Source organism: Homo sapiens, chromosome 2 (assembly GCF_000001405.40).
Source record: "Homo sapiens chromosome 2, GRCh38.p14 Primary Assembly".
Classification (NCBI taxonomy): domain Eukaryota; kingdom Metazoa; phylum Chordata; class Mammalia; order Primates; family Hominidae; genus Homo; species Homo sapiens.
The window spans coordinates 179,989,191-180,012,630 of NC_000002.12; the positions used below are offsets into that span (position 1 = coordinate 179,989,191).

At 38.3% G+C, this 23,440-nt stretch overlaps 1 protein-coding gene across 5 annotated transcripts in view, besides 1 other annotated feature; it reads right to left on the reverse strand.

Moving 5' to 3' along the window:
• Positions 1-18,107, reverse strand: part of CWC22 (CWC22 spliceosome associated protein) — a 62,422-nt gene extending 44,315 nt beyond the window's left edge. For 2 of the 5 annotated variants that reach the window (NM_001376033.1, NM_001376029.1), the window contains exons 1-2: positions 17,880-17,916; positions 4,125-4,264 (exon numbers count right to left, since the gene is read on the reverse strand). In NM_001376033.1, coding sequence (NP_001362962.1) covers positions 4,125-4,151 — 27 coding nt within the window. In that variant the 5' untranslated portion in view covers positions 4,152-4,264; positions 17,880-17,916. Of the gene's footprint in view, positions 1-4,124; positions 4,265-10,540; positions 10,717-17,676 lie in introns of those variants that run through there. The other 3 variants (NM_020943.3, NM_001376032.1, NM_001376030.1) reach the window with 3 other exon arrangements.
• Positions 17,255-17,787: an enhancer, noted in NCBI's record as "NANOG-H3K27ac-H3K4me1 hESC enhancer chr2:180871172-180871704 (GRCh37/hg19 assembly coordinates)". NCBI's record gives its function as "activates a minimal SCP1, AML or CMV promoter by ChIP-STARR-seq in primed H9 embryonic stem cells {active_cell/tissue: H9 hESC(primed)}" and the evidence as "EXISTENCE:reporter gene assay evidence [ECO:0000049][PMID:30033119]".
• Positions 18,108-23,440: the final 5,333 nt, after the last annotated feature.

Below are 23,440 nucleotides of genomic sequence, written 5' to 3' on the forward strand. Positions count from 1 at the left end.
CTCAAATTTTTGATGACATCTAGTTTATATTTTACTTCTATGTAATAAGTTATAATAATAATTATTATTATTATTATTATTTTTTGAGACAGGGTCTTGCTCTGTTGCCCAGGCTGGAGTGCAGTGGCATGATCACGGCTCACTGCAGACTCAACCACCCAGGCTCAAGTGATCTTCTCGCCTCAGCCACAATATTGTACTTACCTCCTATCTCCTTTGGCTTATGAAAACCACAACTTTAGTACAGGGTAAAATAGCTGGAAGAAACTGACTCTAACATGTTTATAAAAGTTAATTTTTGTTTTCAACAAACATCAATTGAGTGTCTGATATGTATTATACTGTGGTAGGCTCTAGGGACTCGAACAACATTACTTTTAGGGTATAAGCACTATTCCAAATTTTTTGAAAAACAATCAATATACAAATAAGTAACTTCATGTAACATGAGACTGACATGAGACAGAGATGTGAACCATCCAGTTTGAGACTACATCCTAATTAAAAAATCCAAATACATTAAGGAACCAAAATGTTTACCTCTGTATATAGGTAAAATTTTTTATATAACTGGTCAACATTCAAATATCGACAAGCCTTTTTTTAAGAATTAAAATAATTTTAATTAACCATACTGTAAAGAAAAATAGCATTTAACATACCTTAATCTTGAAATCTAAGATAAACTAAATCAAACAATGAATAACAGTTCTGCAAACTTACATGCTTGCCTCCTTAATGAAGAAAGGATATATTTTAAAAAAGAAAATTATTCTGAGTAGAAATATAAGATCCAACTTCCTCTGATTTTATGACTATCTAATTAACAGCAGTTTGAGTCTAACATAATCACAAGTACAATGCAAAATAGTCTCATTACTGAATTTTTTGAATAGTATCCACTAACTAATTTATATAGGTGAATAAGCATGTAATCAAAATTGATAACTTAAAGTAACCATAGTTTAGCTGTTACTTTGCATTAAATTCAACCATTTTAAAATTCTGTATCTAATATAAGAAAGTTTTAAAAATTATTTCACTCATCAACACAGTGAAATAGAAATGTTCAATATATATGACATAGGTTTCTATAAAACTTCACATAAAGATCTTAGGTCAAATACAAAGCACAAGATTCATTCAATTCAATGGTAACATAAAATACAATATTTATACTGATCACTTATTATAAGACATAGTCCTTCCTGTGTAGACATTCTGAAAGATACAATAGATAAGAAAGGCCAAGGAGCTTATGATCTTGTAGAAGACAGACAGGCTTATAAAGATTTCTATGATTAAACACATTAGATTATATGTTCCCCAGAATGAGAGTGAGTGAGTGAGACAGACAGAGAGAGAGAGAGAGAGAGAGAGAGAGAGAGAAAGAAGAAGGAGGGGGCAGGGAGAGGAGAGAGGAGAAGACAGAGGACAATAAAACTGCATTATCTCCTTTTTCTTTTACAAGGCAAAGAAAGTTATTTTGATTACATTAAGGAGAAGGCCCCAATTCTGTACTAATGATTTTTAACACATCTCCGCAACATCTGTTGTGAGCAAGAGGAAGAGACCAAAAATATTGAAGTTGTGAAGAAGGATTTCATAAATATGATCAAGTAACAAATGACTGGCACACATAGTAAGTGCTAACAGGAGATCTTGAGTAGGAAACAATCACTGTGGCATACAGTGCTAACGGATGAAAGTGGGAAAACGGGGACTTGAATTTGGCTTTGGTAGATGAATAGGATTTCACCAAGTTAAGAATCACTTTCAGGTATGAATCAAATATTAAGAACCTGAATTTCCCTATTTCTTTTATCACAGAGTTTAGATTGTAAGTCAGTGCAGTAGTTGAAAATACTATACAGTCAGAATTACCTTTTAAAATTTTTCGAAATTGTTCATGAAGCAAAACAAATATGGTGACATCATGTAGTAACTCATAGTCTCCAACAATGTAGGGAGAGCAGTACGAGGAGACAAGGGGAACAAGAAGCCTGAGTCCAGTGGCTTTCATGATCCACTAGACTTTAAAAGAAAGAGGGAGGAGGTGCTGGAAGAGGTAGGAGCTTGCTAAGGAAGCTACAGTGAGGTTCAAGGGAAAAACAGGGGATTCTCAGTTGAAGCCTTATGAACCTAATAGGTGAGTCCTCAGAACATCAAGGGAAGAGCTGAGTTTCACCTAAAGAAAGAATCAGCATCAACCCAGCTAGTGGACCCATTGTGGCTAACAGAAAAGAGATAAATGGAAGCAGACCAAAGAGAGCTGGCTGGTAGAGCCAAGCCACTAAGTGTGAAGGGCATGCTAAATGAAGCCACCCACGGGCAGGCTGGGGGAGAAAATGCTACAGGAGACCCATCTGGGCCACAAGAGGGAAGCGTGGAGAAGCAGAGACTAAGAGGAACCAAAAGAGGAGTCTGAGAAAGGCTAAACATTTCTCCCTTTGAGTAAAAGGCATTAGTCTAAAGATCTGAGCGCTCTTGTCTAACATGGCTCTGTCAAGAGCCAGTTCTGTACAAGGTTTCCTTTACGTCTCCAGCTCCTAACCCAGAATCTGCCACCTACTAGGTCCTCAATAAATTAACTGTTTAAGTAACAATGGACCAATGAGTACAAGTCCCAAAAAGGCCGATTTGAGAACAATATACAAGGGTTACTGACAGATGGAACTACCTTAGGAAACTGTGAGCCCCCTGCCAAAAGAGATATGCAAGCAAAGGCTGGATGTCTACTTAAAAGGGAGGTGGGTGAGTGTCTTCTCACACTTGACAGAGGTTGGAAAAGATTGCAGCAGAGGCTGCCTTACTCTACAAGTCTATCAGTTCAGCTTAATAAGCACCTACTACAGGGCCTGCTGTCAAGGAGCTTGCAATCTACTGCTTCTCTTTAAAGAAGGAACTTTAGGTGTGTACAGCTGTAAGAGGATAGGAAGGGAGGAGTGCCTACATTTATAATCAAATAAAAATACAGTTCCCCCTTTACTGACTCCAAGGCCCAAAAAGTGATGTCCTGGTTTTAAATCCATGCAGTTGAAGAGAAAAAGAAGTTGAGTAGTTTGCTCTCCTGCCAAGTCCACTCACAGGCAGAACAGTTTCGAAAGCAGATGGAATTACTGGTCCCTATTCCTGCCCTGATCTCACCTCCTACAATTCTCCCCTTCTGATACCTGCTCCACTCTAGATTCTTTGCCTTTGCTGTTCCTTTTGCCAGGCACACTCTTTCCCCAGATATCGGCATAGTTAACTCTTACATTTTCAAGTCTCTGCTCAAATGGCTATCTTTTCAATGGGCCCTACTCATCCCTCTATTAAAAACTGCAACCCCTCAATGTTGAATCCCCCTACCCTTTTCTACTTCTTTTCTCCATAGGACAATTCTATTACTTAACATTCTAACATACTACATAACTTATCAAGTTTATAATTTATTTTATCTCCTCCCCACAACAACTATAATGTAAACTCCATGAAAATAAGGATTTGTTTTATTCACTATTTTGTTCAAAGTTCTTAGAACAATCACTATAACATCTAACAATCAATATAACACATATAAAACTATTTTGTTCAAAGTTCTTACAACCATCACTAGAACTCAATATGCATTTGTTAAATAAATGAACGCACACTGTCTAAAGTACAGCACAGAATAAAGAGACCATCCATCTATTCATAAGAAATATCCAAGAGGCTCACGTTGTAAACAGATATGCAGAAATTTCCCTGCACTGTTTGTTACTTGTTTTTCTTTTACATGTGATCATTCACATGATATATGCAGGCCCCTGACGCATGCATCCATGTGTATACACACACACACACGCGCACACACACGTACACACACTTCTGTATGTTCTCAACTGCCCTCTTGCACACTAATACTTCCATATAGCTAAGTATCTACATTTAAAATTGTTTAAGTTAGATGGATGTATTAGGTTGGTGCAAACAGTAATTGTGGTTTTTAAAATTGCAAAAACTGCAATTACTTTTGCACCAACCTAAGTGCCATTCTACTGTCTGGCTCTGATGTCCTAATTACATAAATGCATTTATATTTAAAGAATAGGTAATTGACTATAAGTTTACATCCTCCATTTTAAGTTTCAAACACTTACTTTTATCTGTGCCACACTACTTTTCATTTTCTGTTGCCAGTTGGTCCAATAAATCAAAGATGCTTCAAACTGGTCCAAATAACAAGTACCCAATGCTCTGAATTCCTTGACAGTTTACTTTTTCTGTCTGCAAACATCACCTATAAAATATACCAAAGAAAGCTTTATTAACACTAACAAAGTGTGAAAAATGATGATATATTTTTTCTATACAATGGACATTTGACCGCTTTATTTTTCTTAATCCATAAACAAATATAATAAAAATTGTAAAAATCCTTAAGTAGTTACACATAATAATGTATACCTAACACATACAAGTAGAAAAAAAATCCATGAACAAGAGAGCAAATAGAAGGTTTTATTCTAAGGACCAAGCGGAACAAAAGTTAATTTAAAAAGGGATGTCCTATAACTTTATTAAAAATGTTCTCATAGTGAGGGAGATACATACCTACATCATAAAATAGTAGTGTGATATTATTAAAAAAAACCTGAGGAAACGATAGAAGAGAAACTCTATATAAACTGAGTATAAAAATCCAATGTTTCTACACAGACTAAGAATGAAATACCCAATATCCTTGCAATAATGATCATTAAGAAATAAATTTAATCCACATAGAAATTTAAGGTGCTAAACTACAATAATTATGTCTCAATGTGATCTATTAATGGCACAAAGCTTCAGATATATGCACATATGAGAACTAAGTATTTAGCTCAGAATAAACCTAGTCATCAGCATTAAATCTAAAATCTTCAGATGTGTTTTAATACTCTAAGTAAGTTTTAGCAATTTCTGCAAGATGCTAAATTGATACTTATGTTCACAAAGAACTTGCATTCAAATATTTTATTGGAAGTACATATCTAAATGGTTTATAGTATAAGGCACTGAAATCCCAAAAATAAAATAGAAAATAAAAGGATTAAAAGATACAGAGAATGCAGAGAAAGCAACGTGCTTAGTAGCAAAATAACTGAATACAACTGGAAAAAAAAATTAATTTGAGTGTCAGAAAGGGTATAACAGATTATCTGGTCCAATTCCTTCTTTTAAAAGAGAACACTGAAAGCCAGATATCCTATTTCAATTATAATTATAATAATTAAATTATAATGCCAGCTAGACTTACAACTAGAAACCTACCATAAGGACACCCTGTTAAGTATTCCTTTCACTGGCACACACATACAAATAGTCTTGACATTATAAAGTGATACAGAGCGGCTGTCATTTAATGCAGATGGGGATGTATACGAATTACTAAGTCAAGAAATGTTTCTATTACAATGATTGGCATGGTGTCAAGGTTAGTAAAGGCAAACTTATCAATCTATAAAATATAACTACAATCTAAAGCACATCACTGCTTATGTACGAGGCTTACAGTTAAAGAGACAAATGTGTGTAACTTTACATAATACGCTTATTAACAGGCTCTTTCTTCAATTAGTTATTATTGCAGTTGTTTAGAAAGCTCAGCCTTGTTTTCAGCTGGCAAGTTGTCCCCCAATCTTTTCTTTATGTATCTTTTTAAAGTTTATCAGCACTTTGGGAGGCCGAGGTGGGTGGATCACAAGGTCAGGAGATTGACACCATCCTGGCAAACACAGTGAAACCCCGTCTCTACTGAAAAATTACAAAAAATTAGCCAGGCGTGGTGGCGGGCGCCTGTAGTCCCAGCTACTCCGGAGGCTGAGGTGGGAGAATGGCGTGAACCTGGGAGGCGGAGCTTGCAGTGAGCTGAGATCGTGCCACTGCACTCCAGCCTGGGCAACAGAGTGAGACTTCGTCTCAAACAAACAAACAAACAAAAAAAGATTACTCTGGGTCCTAAATCCTGATGCCCACAGACTAGTCTATCTAGGACCTTATTATGCCCACAACTATGACATCATTGTTTGAACTTAGTTTCAGAGTAACTTTTCCTACTCGATGCTATACCTTAGATAAATAATTGAGAAAATCCAGAATAAGTTACGTAAAACACTTCATAAAATCAGACTCTGTGATGGTAGCAGAGAGGAGAGGCATGCCCCTCTACCTTAAACAGTCTATTCTGATATCATGCAAGAGTTACCATCTTAATAAGCCTATGTTATCAAAAGTCAAATAAAAAACATGTTTCAAAGGCGAAAGAGAGGTTCGAGACTAGAGAGAATTACACTGTTTTCCTCTAAGAACTTAAATAATAAGGGTGTTTTGATTCCCAGGGCCACTGGGTAGTTTATGTAGCACTTCTGAACAAATTTTTTAAAACGGTAACTGAACTTCCACTTCTGAAATGGCTAGGAAGTTCCTACTGAACCTAATCCTTTCACAGGTAACAACCATAAACTCTTGACAAAATATACAACAACCACCTGAAGGCACTGGAGAATGAACAAAAGCAGGCTGAGTCTAGAGGAGAGTAGATGCCTTGAGAAAGGAGCAACATGAGTGAGTTATCCCATTTAATATAGCTTTAGTCTGAGGGCAAGCTGCAGTCTGTACCACGCAAGGGTGGCTAAAACTGATGAAAAGCTGCAGCCATTCTCATTTGAAGAACAAGAGGACAGAGTCTGAGGCAACCACAACTGCTGGAAACTGAGGGGGAATCCAGGAGGGGAGAGAGTCAGTGGAGGGGAACCCCATATGCTGGGTATAAATTGTTCCCACATCTCTGACTACCTCTGAACCAACACATGTACAAGACAGATTCCTGCCAAGAACTGAACTAAGATTTGAACTGCTGCTCAAGAGACTAGAGTTTGCAATTTAAGTCCAACCAAGTTAACTGCCTAAAAAGTCACCACTCCTTAGAGGAATGTAAGGAAACCAAAATCTCTATAACATAAAAATAATATCCAGGAGACAATTAAAAATAACATTTAAAAAATGTGGCCCAATCTTAAGGAAAAAGACAATCAAAACAGATCAATGCTGAGATGATCCAGATCCTGGAATTAGTATATAAGGTTTTTAAAGCATGGTTTTTAAAACATATGGAACGATGCAAAGAAAAATATGCCTGGGAAATTTCAGCCAAGAGAAACGATAAAATAGAACCAAACAGAAATTCTAAAACTGAAAAATATATGAAATAAAAAATTCACTGAATACGCTTAACAGTAGAATGGTTAATAGTTAAAGCCAAAGATAAAGAGAAAAATCCTGAAAGCAGAAAAGAAAAAAACAACATATTATATACAAGGAAATAACAATTCAAATTACTGTTGACTTCTCATCAGAAACTAAATAGACCATGTTCTCATTTACATGCAGAAGCTAAAAAAGTGGATCTCATGAAGATAAAGCAGACTGGCGGTTATCAGAGGCCAGAAAGGGGAGTGGGGTGTGGAGGATGAAGGAAAAAAAAGGAGTATAAATGTATTTATTACCACTGAACTGTACACTTAAACACGGTAAAGATGGTAAATTACATCTCTATATATTTTATATCAAAATTTTTGAAAAAGAAACTAGAGAGACTTGAAAATAGTGAAACAATTTTTAAAAGTGTTAAAAGATAAAAAAAAAAGTTAACGTAGAATTCCAGCAAAAACAATCTTTAAAGGAAGACAAAATGAAGACATTTACTGATTAAACAAAAAACAACAACTAAGAGAAAGAAACTAAGAGAATTTATCACCAGCAGACCTGCACTACAAAAAATGCTAAAATAAGTTCTTCAAGCTAAAGGGAAATGATGCTAGATGGAAACTGTTTTTCAGAAAGAAATGAAGAATACTGTAAATGATAACTTTCTCAGGAAATACAAGATACTGTTTTATTTTAATTTATCTAAAATACATATGACTCTTTACAGCAAAAATTATGTCTTGAGGGGTTATAATATATGTAGCCAGAGTATATATATGTATAGTATATAGAACTAGCGACCAAAATGGATCTACACTATGCAAGGTTTTCTACATCTTTCGTAAGGTGATACAATATGGACTCTAAGTAGCACATGAAAAGTTAAGGATATATATATACTGTTCCTTAGAGTAATGACTAAAAAAAAAAAGTACAAAATGTAGCTTAAAAGGCTACAAATTAAAATAGAATTTTAAAAAATATTTAAAACAGAGGCTACCCCCTCCCTCACCTGAGGATGAGAGCCCTGTAGGGATAACCCTTATCTCAGCTGGATTTTAGGACCATTTGCCTCAACAAGATGACTCTGTTGAAACCAAATTGCATGACTCCTTCCAAAGCTCCTGTTTTAATGGCTATAAAGGTATAGAGAGCCATAAAACTCAAAACTTTACTCGACTTACTTTTGCTCAAAGATATTGGTATTTTTTTCCCTACCTCTACTAGCACAACCATTTAACATTTCTAACATATCCTTTATTACCTTTAAACCCAGTGTTATTTATACGTACATTTGTTCCCCAACAAATAATACAGCACTTCTGTTATTTGCCCAGCATCTTTCTAGGCACTGGATAGGCAGCAATGAACTACCGTAACAAAATCTGTTCATGTGAAGCTTACATTCTAGGTATAAGAAACAAATCTATAATGATAAACAAAACACTAAGCCACTCAAGCAAGGTGACAGGTTGGACTTTTTTCCTACAGGTCAGTTTTAAATCACTACTTAACAGTGTAAAACTAGTTTGATGTCACTATATTAAACACAACTTGAATCAAGAAAAAATGCATGACAGGAGAATTACTTGTACATATATTGGGGCCCACCTCTGACTTACAAAATCAGAAAATGGGCAGAAAGTGTAGGGGAAACCCATGCATACTTGTTTTATGAAAGTATTCCCAAGGTAACTCCAAAATCCAACTTTTCCCCAAGTCTCCTCAGCTTTTCAATTTTACATAAGAAACTTTGGTTCTCAATTTGTTCTCAAACCATGAGCCACTTAGGCAGAATATAGAGACCCCACAGCCTACCTACTTTATAGTGAAGAACTTAGTTGTAAATCAATTGGAAAGGGAAACAGAAAATCCAAATGTATTAATTCTTAATAATTCATAGGTAAGAAGTGTTTTTTAAACTTGAGAAATTATGGCCACAATTTATAATCACTTATACAATCTTCCTCAATCCTCATAATTACCCTGTTCTGGTGATTTTTTTTTTAGCCATGTTTTTCAGTGAAACAACTGAAGTACAGAGAATTCAAGCAATTTGTCCACGTAAATTACACCTAGTAAATGGCAGAAGCTAAACTTCAAAGCCAGGTTTATCTGATGCCAAAGCCATATATTTTGTCCCAATGAAAATGCCAACACTAACGAATTGAAGCCAAAATGGTAAATTATAAAATGTAAACAAGTACAGACTCTACTATACAGAAAATTATCCTAGCCTAAACTGATCCATTCGTTCAAAGTTCCAGATAGCAAAGACTGTGATTTAATATAATGAAGCACTACTTCTTTTCAAACATTCATAGTAATTTTAAGGATTCCTTTTTATTTAATTTAGCATACCTAGAATTCACTGTGACTAGGTATACTATGAGCAAAAAATAAAAATAAAAAATCACTTGACCCCATTGCACAAGATTTAGCGTTTTCCTTTGCTACTCTCCTGGAGTCTTACACCCGGTTCCTCTTCCCAACCTACTTACACATTTCAGAACAAGCAATTTCTGTGCATTTTATTTCTATTTAAATTTACATATTTCAATTTACATATTTCAATTTAGTGAGTTTTCTTCTGATCGATATCATCTTTCCCCTTTCAACTTTCATCAGCAAATAATTTCTGGCAATAAAGTACAATCTGTTACATTTCCATGTCTCACAACGTAAGTGTGAAAATGACAATATGGTAAAGTAGACTGCTATCATAGTTCTAACAAAAAATGAATAAAGTATTGTCATTGTCCAGATTTATGCAGAATATGCCTGTTCGGAAATTCTGAGTTCAACATATGCATGCTAATACTTACACTAATCGGAAATTCCTGAAATGAGAGCAATTTATCTAGAGTTTATAGCACTCTCTGCTCTTCTAAGCATCACTATGTGAATTTTATGGTGAATTATTAAATTTCTTTCCCCTTCTCACAAGAAAGCAACTCAACAAAACCACACCTGTTCTCCCGAAGAAAGGATATTTTCCAATAGGAGATATAGTATTCACGAGAGCACTATTAAAAAAAAGATAGTTTTTCTCTCAGTTTCATCAAGCATTAGAAAGCAAAATATTTAATAACATATATAAGTACGTCAGACTGTTAAGCAGAAAACTGTGAATTCTGCAATCATCTCAAAAATTAAGAAAATGAGAAAATATTCAACTAATGGCTGAAATGCACTGCTTTCCAGATGATTTCCGTAGCAAAACACTTCTACCATTGTCACTTCGGTGTTCTCAGTCCAAGTTAGAGGAACTTGCTGAAACATATTGTCATAAAATTGCTAAAGGAAAGGGGAATCAATAGTGAGTTACCTTTAGTTGGCTCCTCTGGCTTCTAAATAGTAAAAACAGGTTTGGTGAATTTCAAACATTTTAACAGAGTTCATATTTAAAACAAAAACAAAAACCAAAACAAAAACCTTAGTTGCCCAATGGGGAAAGTGGTAATATTATACAATACAAAATAAAAACTGTCTTAAAATTATTCTAAATGCCAAAATATAATGGGAGGGGACATAACGGAACGGAATTCTCAGAAAATACCTCAACAACAGCCAAGCCCCCAAGGAACGGATTTTCCTTTTCAGGGAACAAATAGGAGTAACAGATTGGCTTCGCTCTTGAACAATATAAAACAAGATTGCTATGTACTTTCCATATCTGTACTGAAGGAAAACTTACTTGTTTTAGAAAAACCGTTTCTTGCTATTTTTTCCTGTCTTAATTTACATATTAGTGAAAAAATTGCCTCATGATATACCTCATAAGGCCAAAAAATTATAATTTGATGTCAGCATAGAATCACAATTTCAAGAAAATAAAAGGGTCAAAATACTCCTGTCTCTTTCTAGAAAAGTCACCAGGTACAGGTTGAAAATCCTTTATCTGCAGTTCTAAAATCTGTAAAGCTCTGAAAATACAAAGATTATTCTTAAGCATGTGGCAACTCACTTGAGAGCAAAACTTAGCATATACTGACTTGATACTTAATGTGACTTGATACAGTGCAGAAATATTAATGTGTTTTGACTAGAGGATGTTACTCCAGACCCCAAAAGGGGGGATTACTTAATATGTAGTATAGGCACTGCAGTTTTCTAAAATCTACAAGATACTGAAATCAAAACACTTCTGGCTCCAAAAATTACAAATAAAGAGTTGCAGAGCTGTCCTCCCTTTTGCTTCATAGTCATTGCATATGCCAGGTGTGCTGACTCATAACCATTTGAATGACTAGATTGCCAGGTTCAAGTACAGGGCTAGAAGTTGTGCAGACAGTTCTGGACATTGTTTTCTGTAAGAAGTAAGTAATATAAAAGCATTTGACTGGTCTGCAACTCTGTGTGGAGAGTAGACAGCCCAAATTTTCAGACACTTTAAGACAGTAAGACACAGAGGAGTGAAAAAAAAAAAAGACATTTTAATGAACCCAGTGACACCATTATCTATACTGAAAACCTCACATTATAAATTGGGAGGTAGTATTACCCCCATTCATTTCCTGTATCATGAAGCTAGTCTATTTTAGGCTGTTTAAGTAACCAAATAAAGAGTTAAGTGATCCAATCATTTGGAAATACTATTAATTTTTTTACGCATAGGAAGATTCCCCAATGTGCTTCTTTTCAACAGAATGCAGGATCTATGAGAATAGAAATTTGTCTATTTTTGTTAGTTTCAACATTTCAATAAGCTGTCTCTTGATTTACAGTACAGTATTGATTTCTATTTAAGTTGGTTTTAAAGAAAAATTCTACATGTTGAACTTTTTAATGATTCATTTAAAAATAAATTATGATATTTATGGGGCAAATTCCCTTTATCCTGTCCCCTCTCTAGTTTTACTGTCTCATCCCTACACAGCTATTTTGTGATATGTAAGTTCACACTTGATGCCTCTAATTTTTTTTTCTTTTTTTTTTTTCTTGAGACAGAGTCTGACTGTCACCCAGGCTGGAGCGCAGTGGCATGATCTCAGCTCATCACAGCCTCCACCACCCAGGTTCAAGTGATTCTCATGCCTCAGCCTCCTCCTGAATAGCTGGGATTACAGGTGCGCACCACCATGCCCAGCTAATTTTGTGTATTTTTAGTAGAGATGGGGTTTCGCCATGTTGGCCAGGCTGGTCTCAAACTCCTGACCTCAAGTGATCTGCCCACCTGGGCCTCCCAAAGTGCTGGGATTCCAGGAGTGAGCCACCATGTCCAGCCTGATGTCTCTAATTCTTAACCTCTCCTACCCACTGTAATTCAGCTTTCCCTTCCCACTACTCCACAGCACTTACCAATGTTACACAGTAACTTTTTTTCTTGTTGCTAAATCCAGGGGCAGCTTCCTTCTTTTATGGGACATTGCTCTAGCATTTGGCACCTAATCCCCTTCTTGAAGTTCTCACTTGTCAACTTACAGGGACACCACCTTCATTTGTCCATCCCTTTAATATTTACTATGCCTGAGAGTTTAGTATTTGCTCATGAATTTATGTTTTGTTCATTGCTACATTCCCAACACTAGAGGCTCTCAATACATATTTGTTAAATGGATGAATGAATAGTCCTTATCTTTTCTTTCTCCATATTATCTGTGGAAGATCATCTCCATCCCCATAGCTTTAATTAACATGCGAAAACAACTTTTTACTCCAGCCAATCTTCTCTAGAGTTCCAAATCATGATGTCCAATTTGCTACAGGAAACCTCTAAGTGGATGTGCCAAAGGCCATCTGAACTAAAGAAATCCACAGTGGAACTAATTATTTCCTTCTCCCCATCTTAAACCAGCTCTTCTTCTAAGATATGACTTACAAAGCTTCCCAGGTGGCAATTTCCTTTTCCTTACTCCCTGTAAGTCACCAAATCCTACTGATTCTACCAAATCTGCCCATGTTTCCCCCTCATTCTGTCACTGTATATAGGAGGCTGGGGGAAGGTTCCATTTAGGCTAGGGCCATAATTGATATTTATATTCAGTGGCTGAGAAAAGCTGGGTGCAGTGGCATGTGCCTAGAGTCCCAGCCTGGGCAACATAGTGAGATCCCATCTCAAAACAATAGTAAAAGAAGATGAAAAAAGAAAAATGCTTACAGAGAAAATGAGGAAGTATGAAGCTAAGAGAAAAAGTACAGTCATGGTCTTTACTAAAGGCAGTGTCTATGTACGGTGGGGAGATATATACATTACACAACAGACAAGGCATTGAGGACTCTGTCCTTGGGTAAAGAAGAAATGTCTAAGTGCTACAACAATGTCATAAACAAGTGTTACTGGAAAAGAGGGTTTGGGACATACAGAAAGAAGTAGGTCTTGAAGCTGAGTCTTAAAGAACAAGTAGGAATTATCCATATCGAAAGGGGAAAAGGTCATTCAGGAAATACGATAAGCATGTGTAAAGACTCAGAGACAGAGAATTTGGGGATTCCAAGGTGTACATGAAAAACTGAACATGAATAAGATGGAACATGAGAGACTCATTAAGCTAAACTATGAAAGGCTCTGTATGAGTACACTGGATCCTCAAGGTTCTTGGTCACTGCTACATATCCAGAACCTAGGACAGTGTCTGCTACTTAATAAGTTCCAAGTCTAAAATTAAATAAAAAACGGGGAGTGTAGATTTCTGCTGATTACTCCAATTTCTGCCTACATAGAACTTCCTATAATGCCATTTTGTCAACTTGTTCATCAAGGAATACAACAGCAGCGTTGTCTCACCTATTAACTCCTACTTCTTGGAAATACTAAGATTTCCAAGTCTTAGTACATCAAGACAACACTATCAGATGCCACCCCCTATTAGTCTTCACTCCATGTTAACCTGTGGAACAGCTTGAAAACACTTCCTCATTGAGTGAGATGAAAAAAATACTAGTTCCTTTGCAGGCACTGCAAAAGGAAATCTGTCCCTGAAGGTGCAGTTCTTTTAACTTACAAAATCAACCCTAATTACTGAATATGCCATATGCCTTCATCACACATTCAAACCACTCTCTCCTGTCCCAAATCTGTTCCTCAGCTTGCCTAATTAAGTATATGGGTGAACACATTCTGCCAATTTTCAAGGCACAGCTTTGAAAGTCACCTGGTTATTTAATTAGAGAGCCACGTAGTAAACCACATTCTGGTTTAAAGAAAACTTGGAGGTGTTGGCCTCCACAGAGAAATTTAGCCCCTAGACATGCAAGCACTGCATTCTACTACAGAGGCTCCTGTAGCCAGGTCTAAAATAAAGCTATCCTGACAAACTATTTCAGGAAGGACTCACAGGGTAACTTTTCAGGTGGAAGTGCTGAACTCTGTCTAGCTCCACCCATTTATAAGTTAGGCTGAAAGACAGGTTAAACATGAGTCACCGAGTTCCTCCTCCCCACTAGCTAACCCATTCCACAGGAGTTAATATGTCCCAAGGCCAAGGCAGCCCATACCCCGTTTTTGGTATCTGTTCACTAGGAAAGACTTATTAACTTTATTATATAAAGGCTAGCTATAATCCATGCTTAAAGTTTGTACTTTGTTGTAGGTATTCAAATGTCTCTTCCAATGTCCACTTGGGAAATGTACATACTGAGAAAAAGTTTAAGTCTGGGAGTTTGCTGAAACTAGTATGCTCTCTGGCTTTATTGTTCCACCACCCTCCCATGCTCAGATAAACAGAAAAGTAGGGAAATTCGACAAGGGAGGCTTCAAAGTTATAAGAGGGATGCATGAATGTATTACCAATAGCCACTTCTTTCTCGGACTAGCTCCAGGCACCATGAACAAACCATGACCAAGTTAGGGATATGATGAGTAGTACAAAATTCCATTTAAATACAAGTGGACAATAAATTGAAAATATTATTCAAGTTAAGGCATGGGCATCTGAAATACAAAATGCATCACTGTGTTGTCTTTTGGGTGGTCTCAGGTACAAGCCACTGTAGGTCATTCAACAATGTGCAATCACTGGGAAGGAGAGTTAACTTCTTTTTTTCTTCTTCTTCTTTTTTTTTCTTGAGACAGAGGCTCACTTTATCGCCCAAGCTGGAGTGCAGTGGAGAGAGCTCAGCTCACTGCAACCTCCGCCTCCCAGGTTTAAGTGATTGTCGTGCCTCAGCCACCCGAGTAGCTGGGGCTACAAGCGCACAGCACCACACCCTGCTGATTTTTTTTGTATTTTTAGTAGAGACGGGGTTTCACCATGTTGGCCAGGCTGGTCTATCTCAAGTGATCCGCCCGCCTTGGCCTCCCAAAGTGCTGGGAATGCAGGCATGAGCCATCGCCGCCCCCGCCCCTCGCCCCCCTCCCCCCCAGGAGAGTTAACTTCTAAAAATTCAGCAGCTGGGAAAGCTAACAGAGCTAAGAAAGCTGGCTTAGAAAAACAATTAGGTAGTCTAGGAAGTGTCAGAACTCCAAAAAGTGATTGGAGGTACCCTATCCAAAGCAGGGAAGGATGTGGTGGAATAATAATAAATACTGGCTGGCCATGCATCCAAGTACTTTGGAGCAAGGAGGGCAGCAAACATGATTCTGAGGACGGGGGAGGATGAATCATAGCATGCCCCTAAAGGATGAGCCAGAGCAGAAGTTCTCAAACTAATTGGCATGAGAACTACTCGAATGCTTTCGGAAAAAAAAAAAAAAAAGACAGACAGACTGTTGGGCCTCCATTTCCACGTTTCCGATTCAACAGAACTGGGTGAAGCCCAGTAATTTACATTGCTAACAAGCTTCAAGGAGATGATGCTGCTGATTCAGAAGACATTTTTGGAACCAATACACCAGTGTATTAGATCAAAGTTCTTGGCCTTTAACTTATAACCAAGACAGTCTCAGAGCCCCAGTCAACTGAGTTGGGAAAGACTCCATTAAAGTGGCATGGACACTTAAAACTAGGACACTAGCCGGGAGCGGTGGCTCACGCCTGTAATCCCAGCACTTTGGGAGGCCGAGGCGGGTGGATCACAAGGTCAGGAGACAGACACCATCCTGGCTAACACAGTGAAACCCCGTCTCTACTAAAAATACAAAAAATTAGCCAGGCGTGGTGGCGGGCACCTTAGTCCCAGCTACTTGGGAGGCTGAGGCAGGAGAATGGCATGAACTAGGGAGGCGGAGCTTGCAGTGAGCCGAGATAGCGCCACAGCACTCCAGCCTGGGCGACAGAGTAAGACTCCGTCTCAAACAAAACAAAACAAAACAAAAAACAAAAAACAACTGGAAGGACACTTACAGGTGGAAAGGCAACATTCAGAACCAGAGAACAAGAATTGAGGAACAGAGAGAACTCATCAACTGTATCATAGTAGTAATTTACAATAATACAACGCTAACGCTGTGCTCAGTGCCTCATCTGCATTATTTTTCTTTATACTCAAAAAAAGACAATACAGTGAGGCAGGTATTGTATTACTACCTACATGTTTCCAGATGATGAAGCTGACACTAGAGACTTTAGGTAACTTGCTCCAAGTGACAGACCTAATAATAGCTGGATAAAACAGAAATCTTTGGTCTACTAGTCCATCACCCAGGACCAACACAAGTGGCTTTCCTCCACCTACTGATAACGCCTGTAACAATGCTTCTCCTCTCCTGGTCAAAACCACACTTTTAATGTCAATTTTAAATCTGCCCTTCCATAGTAGGATGATAATTTATGTTAACTCCTGAATTCACAAGCAATCCTAAAACAAGGTAAGTCTAAATACAGATAAGAGGTAGGTTAACTGATCTGCTGAGAACCAAGTTTGCTTGCTTATCTGCTATTTCGAGTCTCTGCACATCTAAAAATGCAAAGGAAACTCTTACCTAATTCTTGCATCTAGAATAGCCTTTCTCCAAATCCTGCCTTCTCCACTTACCTCAGAAGAATTGTTAGGATTAAATGGAAATAGGTACCGTGGTTTTTGCAGTTAAACTCAGTGAAATTAACTATTATATTTCCGTTATATAATGCTGTGTTGTAGGACCCAGAGCTCGTTAGAGAGGTGGAGCCTGGAGACCCAAGTTTGGCAGTTATTACCTCACTGGAGATAGTTCAAGTTATGGAAGGATCAAGAATGACAGATGAAGCGGGCACATGAGAAGCGAAGTGTCTTCAAGACTAAACACTAGACACTATCAGTATTTACAGGGCAAATAAATGAAAAAGAAGACGCTAATGAAATTTAAAACAAATAGTCAAAGGGATATAATGCCGGCAAGAGGCATAAGAGTGCAAGTAATTCAACTAACTTTTAATCAACTAGATCTCATTAATCCCACTCCCCTGACCCTGGGACCCGGGCACTAGGAAAGGGGCTTTGGCAAGCCCCAATGGACTCCAGAGGCTCTAAGTATAAAACGCAGTGCACAAGAAACAACACAGCACCAGCGTTGGTGCAGGATTTCAGACAGCTCCAGGAACTTCACAAGGAAGGTCAGCCGGTCCGCTCAGGCAGTCAGTTCATGGCAGCCCATTCCCTCCCCACCTGCTTGGACCTAGCCGCTCTCACACCCCTCTTGCGGGCCCGAGCGTAGCGAGAAGACCCACGCACACTCCAATGCCGCTCACAGCCGTATCAGTGAGCCCGCACCCACTCCTGGGGGTCTTTTACTTCCCACCCGATCCGGCGACCCGCCACCCCCACTCCGCGTCTCTGCCTGCGGGGACTCCACGGAGTTCGATAATTACCTAGAGCTCCACCGCGCCGCCATTACACCGGACGTACGTCACTTCCTCTTCCCGAGCACCGACGGTAGGAAGAAGGCGAATAGTGAAATATTTAAAAACTTGACGCTCAATTGGCTTGACACGTTATCCCTTTAATTTATTTCAAATACCATATCATAATACCAGAGTCAAAGTAGTCGATCCAGGCACACTGTCTTGTTGCCAAAATGGCGACAAAAAAGAGAAGTTGGCATGAACTACAAAGTCCGAAATCCAGCGCCTGTGCTGACGGAAATGAGGAAAGCATAATTGTAGTTTAGCGTGAAATGGCGCGGTGTACGATGGGAATTGTAGTTCATACAGATGCGCGCCAGCGAGTTAACATCCACGCTGCTCACTGGCAGCCTAGTAGTGTTCAGGGTCTAGCCGAATTTACTTTAAAACTATTTCACTGCATTTTGGGGAAATTTTTTTTAAAAAAGCAGTCAGTTGTCACTTTCCTTGAAAAATCTTAAGAGAGAGATTTTCCTGAGACTTTATAAGAGTTTGACCAACAGTTAAGTGCCTAATAAATTCCAAGATATCCAGGCCATAAGAATGGGAGAATATTAAATCATAAATAGAGTGAAATAATGAGGAAAAACTAATTCTATAGAGACTGTGTTGCCTCTCTTTTAGGTTAAGGTACCAACTGGTATGACCTGAGAATAAAGAGATTGCCTGGCTGAGTAGGAAGTAGCAGTTTGTACAGCGTGCAGAACTAGGGCATCAAACAGTTTCTTTAAACTTCACTTTTCACTAGTAACAAAACCTAAAAGTTCAACTACTTGCTATTTTGGAAACTCTCTTCCTAAACCAAGAATATCTTTATGTTATCAAATCTTTCATAAACCAGGACTGGTTTCTCCACACACTTCTCTATTACAGTTTTAGGGTGCTGTGCTTCCACTCCTTTCTGGAGGCAGAGTGTGATGATTAAGAATAAAAACACTGCAGTTGGACTACTTATTTTGAATCTTGAGTCCTTTTATTATTTATGGATGACTGGGGCAAGTAACTTCACATTCTGTGGCCGTTTCCTGATCTGTTAAATGGAAATACCAATAGTATCCATCCAGGCAGTAGTTTTAAGAATTGAATTAGTTGATACACAAGATGCATTTAAGATAATTGCTAGTATACAATAGTGTTATCTATTTTATTTCATATTTAAGATATTTGGCCATTGTTGATGGTGCATTTTGGTGCACCAATACAGGGCACAGGAGATGGATCTGGAGATGAACATTTGTATTCATATATTTAAAAACCCACAATACTACCGGTGATGGTTAATTCTGAATGTCAACTTGATTGGATTGAAGGATGCAAAGTATTGATCCTGGGTGTATCTGTGAGGGTGTTGCCAAAGGAGATTAACAGTTGAGTCAGTGGACTGGGGAAGACAGACTCACCCTTAATCTGGTGGGAACAATCTAATCAGCTACCATCGAATATAAAGCAGGCAGAAAAATATGAAAAGGCAAGACTGGCCTAGCCTCCCAGCCTATATCTTTCTCCCATGCTGGATGCTTCCTGCCCTCAAACATTGGACTCCAAATTCTTCAGTTGTGAGACTCAGACTGGCTCTCCTTGCTCCTCAAGCTTGCAGACAGCCTATTGTGGGACCTTGTGATTGTGTAAGTTAATACTTAATAAACTCCCCTTTTTATATATATATCCTTATATATAGATATATATATTAGGATATATATATAAGGATATATATAAAAAATAGGATATATATGTAATAGGATATATATACGTGTGTGTGTGCGTGTGTGTGTATCTATCTATCTATCTATCTATCTATCTATCTATCTATCTATATCCTATTAGTTCTGTCCCTCTAGGGAACCCTGATGAATATACTACCTCTACAACTATCAACAGAAATAGGAAAGTTAGGGTTGAGCAGAGGAGAACTAGATGGAGCTGGAAAAGAATTGGATTTGTCAGTTGGGTCCTTCAGGAAGCAGACACTGAGAAAGAGTTATGAATAATAAAGGTGAAAGGAAAATGGAGGAAATAGTAGCTCCAGAATAAAGATGAAGAGGCCTACAATGGGATGAAATGGCTAGGCCCTTGTACCAGTTTTGCTCAGTCACTGGCTAGAGCCACCCCAAGAAGAGTGTGGCCTCAACTAAAAACCCAAGGTGGACATGAAGATTCAACAGTTGAAGGCTGTCACCTAACCACACTGCTTGCAGCTAGGCTACAAGCAAGTCCTTTCTTGAAGAGGTATCTGAGCAGCATCTCTCTGTGCCTGTCACAGTCTCCATACACCCAGTCTCCATACACCTTTCAGGAACAACTTTTCCAGGGTTCTAGTGCACATTTCTTCCTAAAAAAAATTTAGAAGTGGCAAGTTAGTGAGACAAACTACACTCCCCATCTTTGGGTCCTGAGGCCACACTGAATCCATTGCCTCTCTTCTCCACTATTCATTCTAAATTTCCCTTGCTGTCAGCTACTGCTCTACTGCTCTCTATGGTAAACTGGTGGTGTAAAAATCCTAATTCCTGGGAAGTCTGAGCGCCTGGTAGTGATCTTCTTTTCAGGCAGGTGCTGCTGCATTTTTTCATTGATGGTCACTATAAGGTAAGGGATTACCAAGAGATGCTAAAGTGGATCGCCTAAGTACCACATATATTCTTACTTGCTCCCATTGTGTAACAGCAAGCGTATCTCCTCCTGCTGTTTGGATTTAGCTACCTCTGACAAAGCATTGATTCCTTTCTTGCCTACTAGCCCCTGAACTCTAGAAGTCCTGTGTTTCCAGGCACCTGCTGAGCTTAGTTCAGTGGGACACTGTGTCCCCTAGCAAGAATATATCACCTTTGGGGATTAGGACCACCAATTCCACAGAGCTCAGAGTTGCAGGAATGGGAAATACTATGTCCCACCGCAGGTCATTGGGAAAAATGGTGAGTTAGGTTACATTCCTGTTTTCATCCCTTGTTTCCTGGATCCAAGTGTTGTTCTTACTAGGGACCCTGCATCCTGAGAGACAGTACCTCATTCTTGCAGAATATTGTCTTCTAGCTGATACTTTAACTGAATCTTCAGCAGGTCATTCCAGTGCTCTATTAGGCCACCAGCTTCTGGGCATGCAGCATGTGATACATCCAGTGGAACCCATGGTCACAGGCTTGTACCACCTTTGCTATGAAGTAAGTCCTGCTTGGATGTTATGTTGTATTATATTCCACACCTGTGGATCAAGCATTGTGGAAGTCCACAGATACTGGTGCTGGATGAGTCTTGGTGAGTATAAAATGTGAATGCATACCCCAAATAAATATTCCCATAAAATTGAACTGCTAGAATGGAAAGATCTCAATGTAGTCTACTTACCACCAAGTGTCTACTTGATCTCCTAAAGATACGGTGTCAAATTAAGGACCAGTCTCACAGGTTAAGCATTCAGATGAGGCAGTAAGTAAGTAGATCAGCTGTGGTAAGAGGGCTTTGTGCTGATGGGCCTGTGCACATATTCCATTTTTGCCACCCTGGCCATTTTGTTCATGTGTCAATTTTACCAGCACTTGAGGTAGCCACTAATAAAGACAGGTTGACATCAACTGAGTAATTTTTCTACTTTTTTTTTTAGTGCTTACTCCATAGATTATACTTTCTTGTGGACATTGATGTGTGATAAAAATATCTTCACACTTTTTGCTCACACCAATGTGTATATCCACATTCCTCCAAGACCCTCAGGATTCTTTATTTGTGATCTTCTAAACTCATTATTTTCAGGCCTCTGACCAGCCAGCCAGGATGTTTGTCATTTCCTGTAAGTATATTTATATTCTAACCCCGGGCAACTTCTCCCTCTACAGAAAGTGGATGACAAGGTGCATCATCCAAAGCTTTGCCCACTAGGAAGACTGTTTCTCTTCACTGTCTTCAAGGCTATTCTTTAATGAGATTGTAATATAAGCTGCTGCCCAATTTCAGCTTTCATCCACATACTTGGGCAACCCATTCGTAAACTAAGCTCAGCCATTTTTTTTCTTTCTTTAGCTTATTGATCAAGACCACACCTCTGCTCCATATGGTCACCAATATGAGCTGAAGGAGTATTGATGCAACTCTAACAGTGATGTAAGAGTGTATGCTGTCTAATCCTATAGATTGATTGTGATCTTCTTTGTGCTTCATCCCAAATGTAATTCTTTTATCTTACGATGGATTACAGTTCAGCTTCCCAGAACTTATAACCTGGTGTGTCCAACAAGCCAATTTTTTTTTTTTTAGATGGAGTCTCGCTCTATCGCCCAGGCTGGAGTCAAGGTACATTTTGTTTTGTGTCACTTAGTGTCCCACAGTAAGCATTTCCTCTTTACCAGTAGCATTAGAAGGGCCATTTTTCGAAAGACTTGCAGCCTTCATCTAGATCCCCAGGCACCTGAACTGTGATTTTCCCACTGAGATTTCTATAAACTCCATACTACATCTTTTTCCACCACTGACACCTCTAACATCATAGGATCTGCCAGATCATATAGCCCATTGTCGAGGCTATTTTCACTACAGCTCAATCCTGCTGTAGAACCCTTTCCTGTGCCAGGCTGCAAAATTGTCAGCTTTTTATGTCACCTGGTTTATGGATGAGAAAAATATTTCTAGGTGTAGAGTATGTGGCTTACAGAACCCAAAGCAGCCTCCTAGGCGTTGTGCTTTTTCCTTTTTCATATTGGAGGTAAGATGCTGCCATTTGTCTTGTATTTTGGAGGGGATATCCTAGCACTCCTCTGAACAATGGGCCCTTAATGTCTTTAATAAAGAACCAGGTCCCTCCATGATTCTTCCAAGGGTTCATTTCTCACTCTCTGGAGCACAAACCTTGAGCATGCTAATAACCTCTCGCTAAACGTGTTTGATCAGCATGATGTCATGATGTAATGAATCAATATAATATTCTACAGGATTTCCAGATGATTCCTATCTCTTTGGACTGTAAGTGTGAGTAGGAAACTTAATATAGTCCTGGGGAAAAGTTTCAATGTATATTGATATTATATTTCATATGGACATGAACTATTTATTTCATATGGACATGAACTATTTTAAATTGTCTTGCTTGATTGGGATAGAAAAGAATGAATTCTCCAAACCGATAGCTGCATACCATATACCTGGAGCCATATTAGCCTGCTTTATCAATGATACTATGCTTGGCATGTCAATCGCAACCGGGGCTGCTACTTTGTTAAATTTTTGGTAGTCTACAATCATTCTTCTATTATAGTTCATCTAGTTTCTGCTAAGGCCAGACTGTTGAATTAAATGGAGATATGATGGAAACTATCAACCCTGCATCTTTTTTATTTTTTTGTTTGTATTTTATTTTTTATGTATATTTTATGGGTATCATTAATCTGCACCATTTTCTAGGCACATTATATTGTTTTAGATGTTGTCTCTTGGGCAAGAGAGGCAGTTTTAAAGACTTCTTTTTAGCTTTGCTCACTATGATAGCTCTTACTCCATAGGCCAAGAACAATACATGGAAGTTGCTCCAACTGTGAAATATG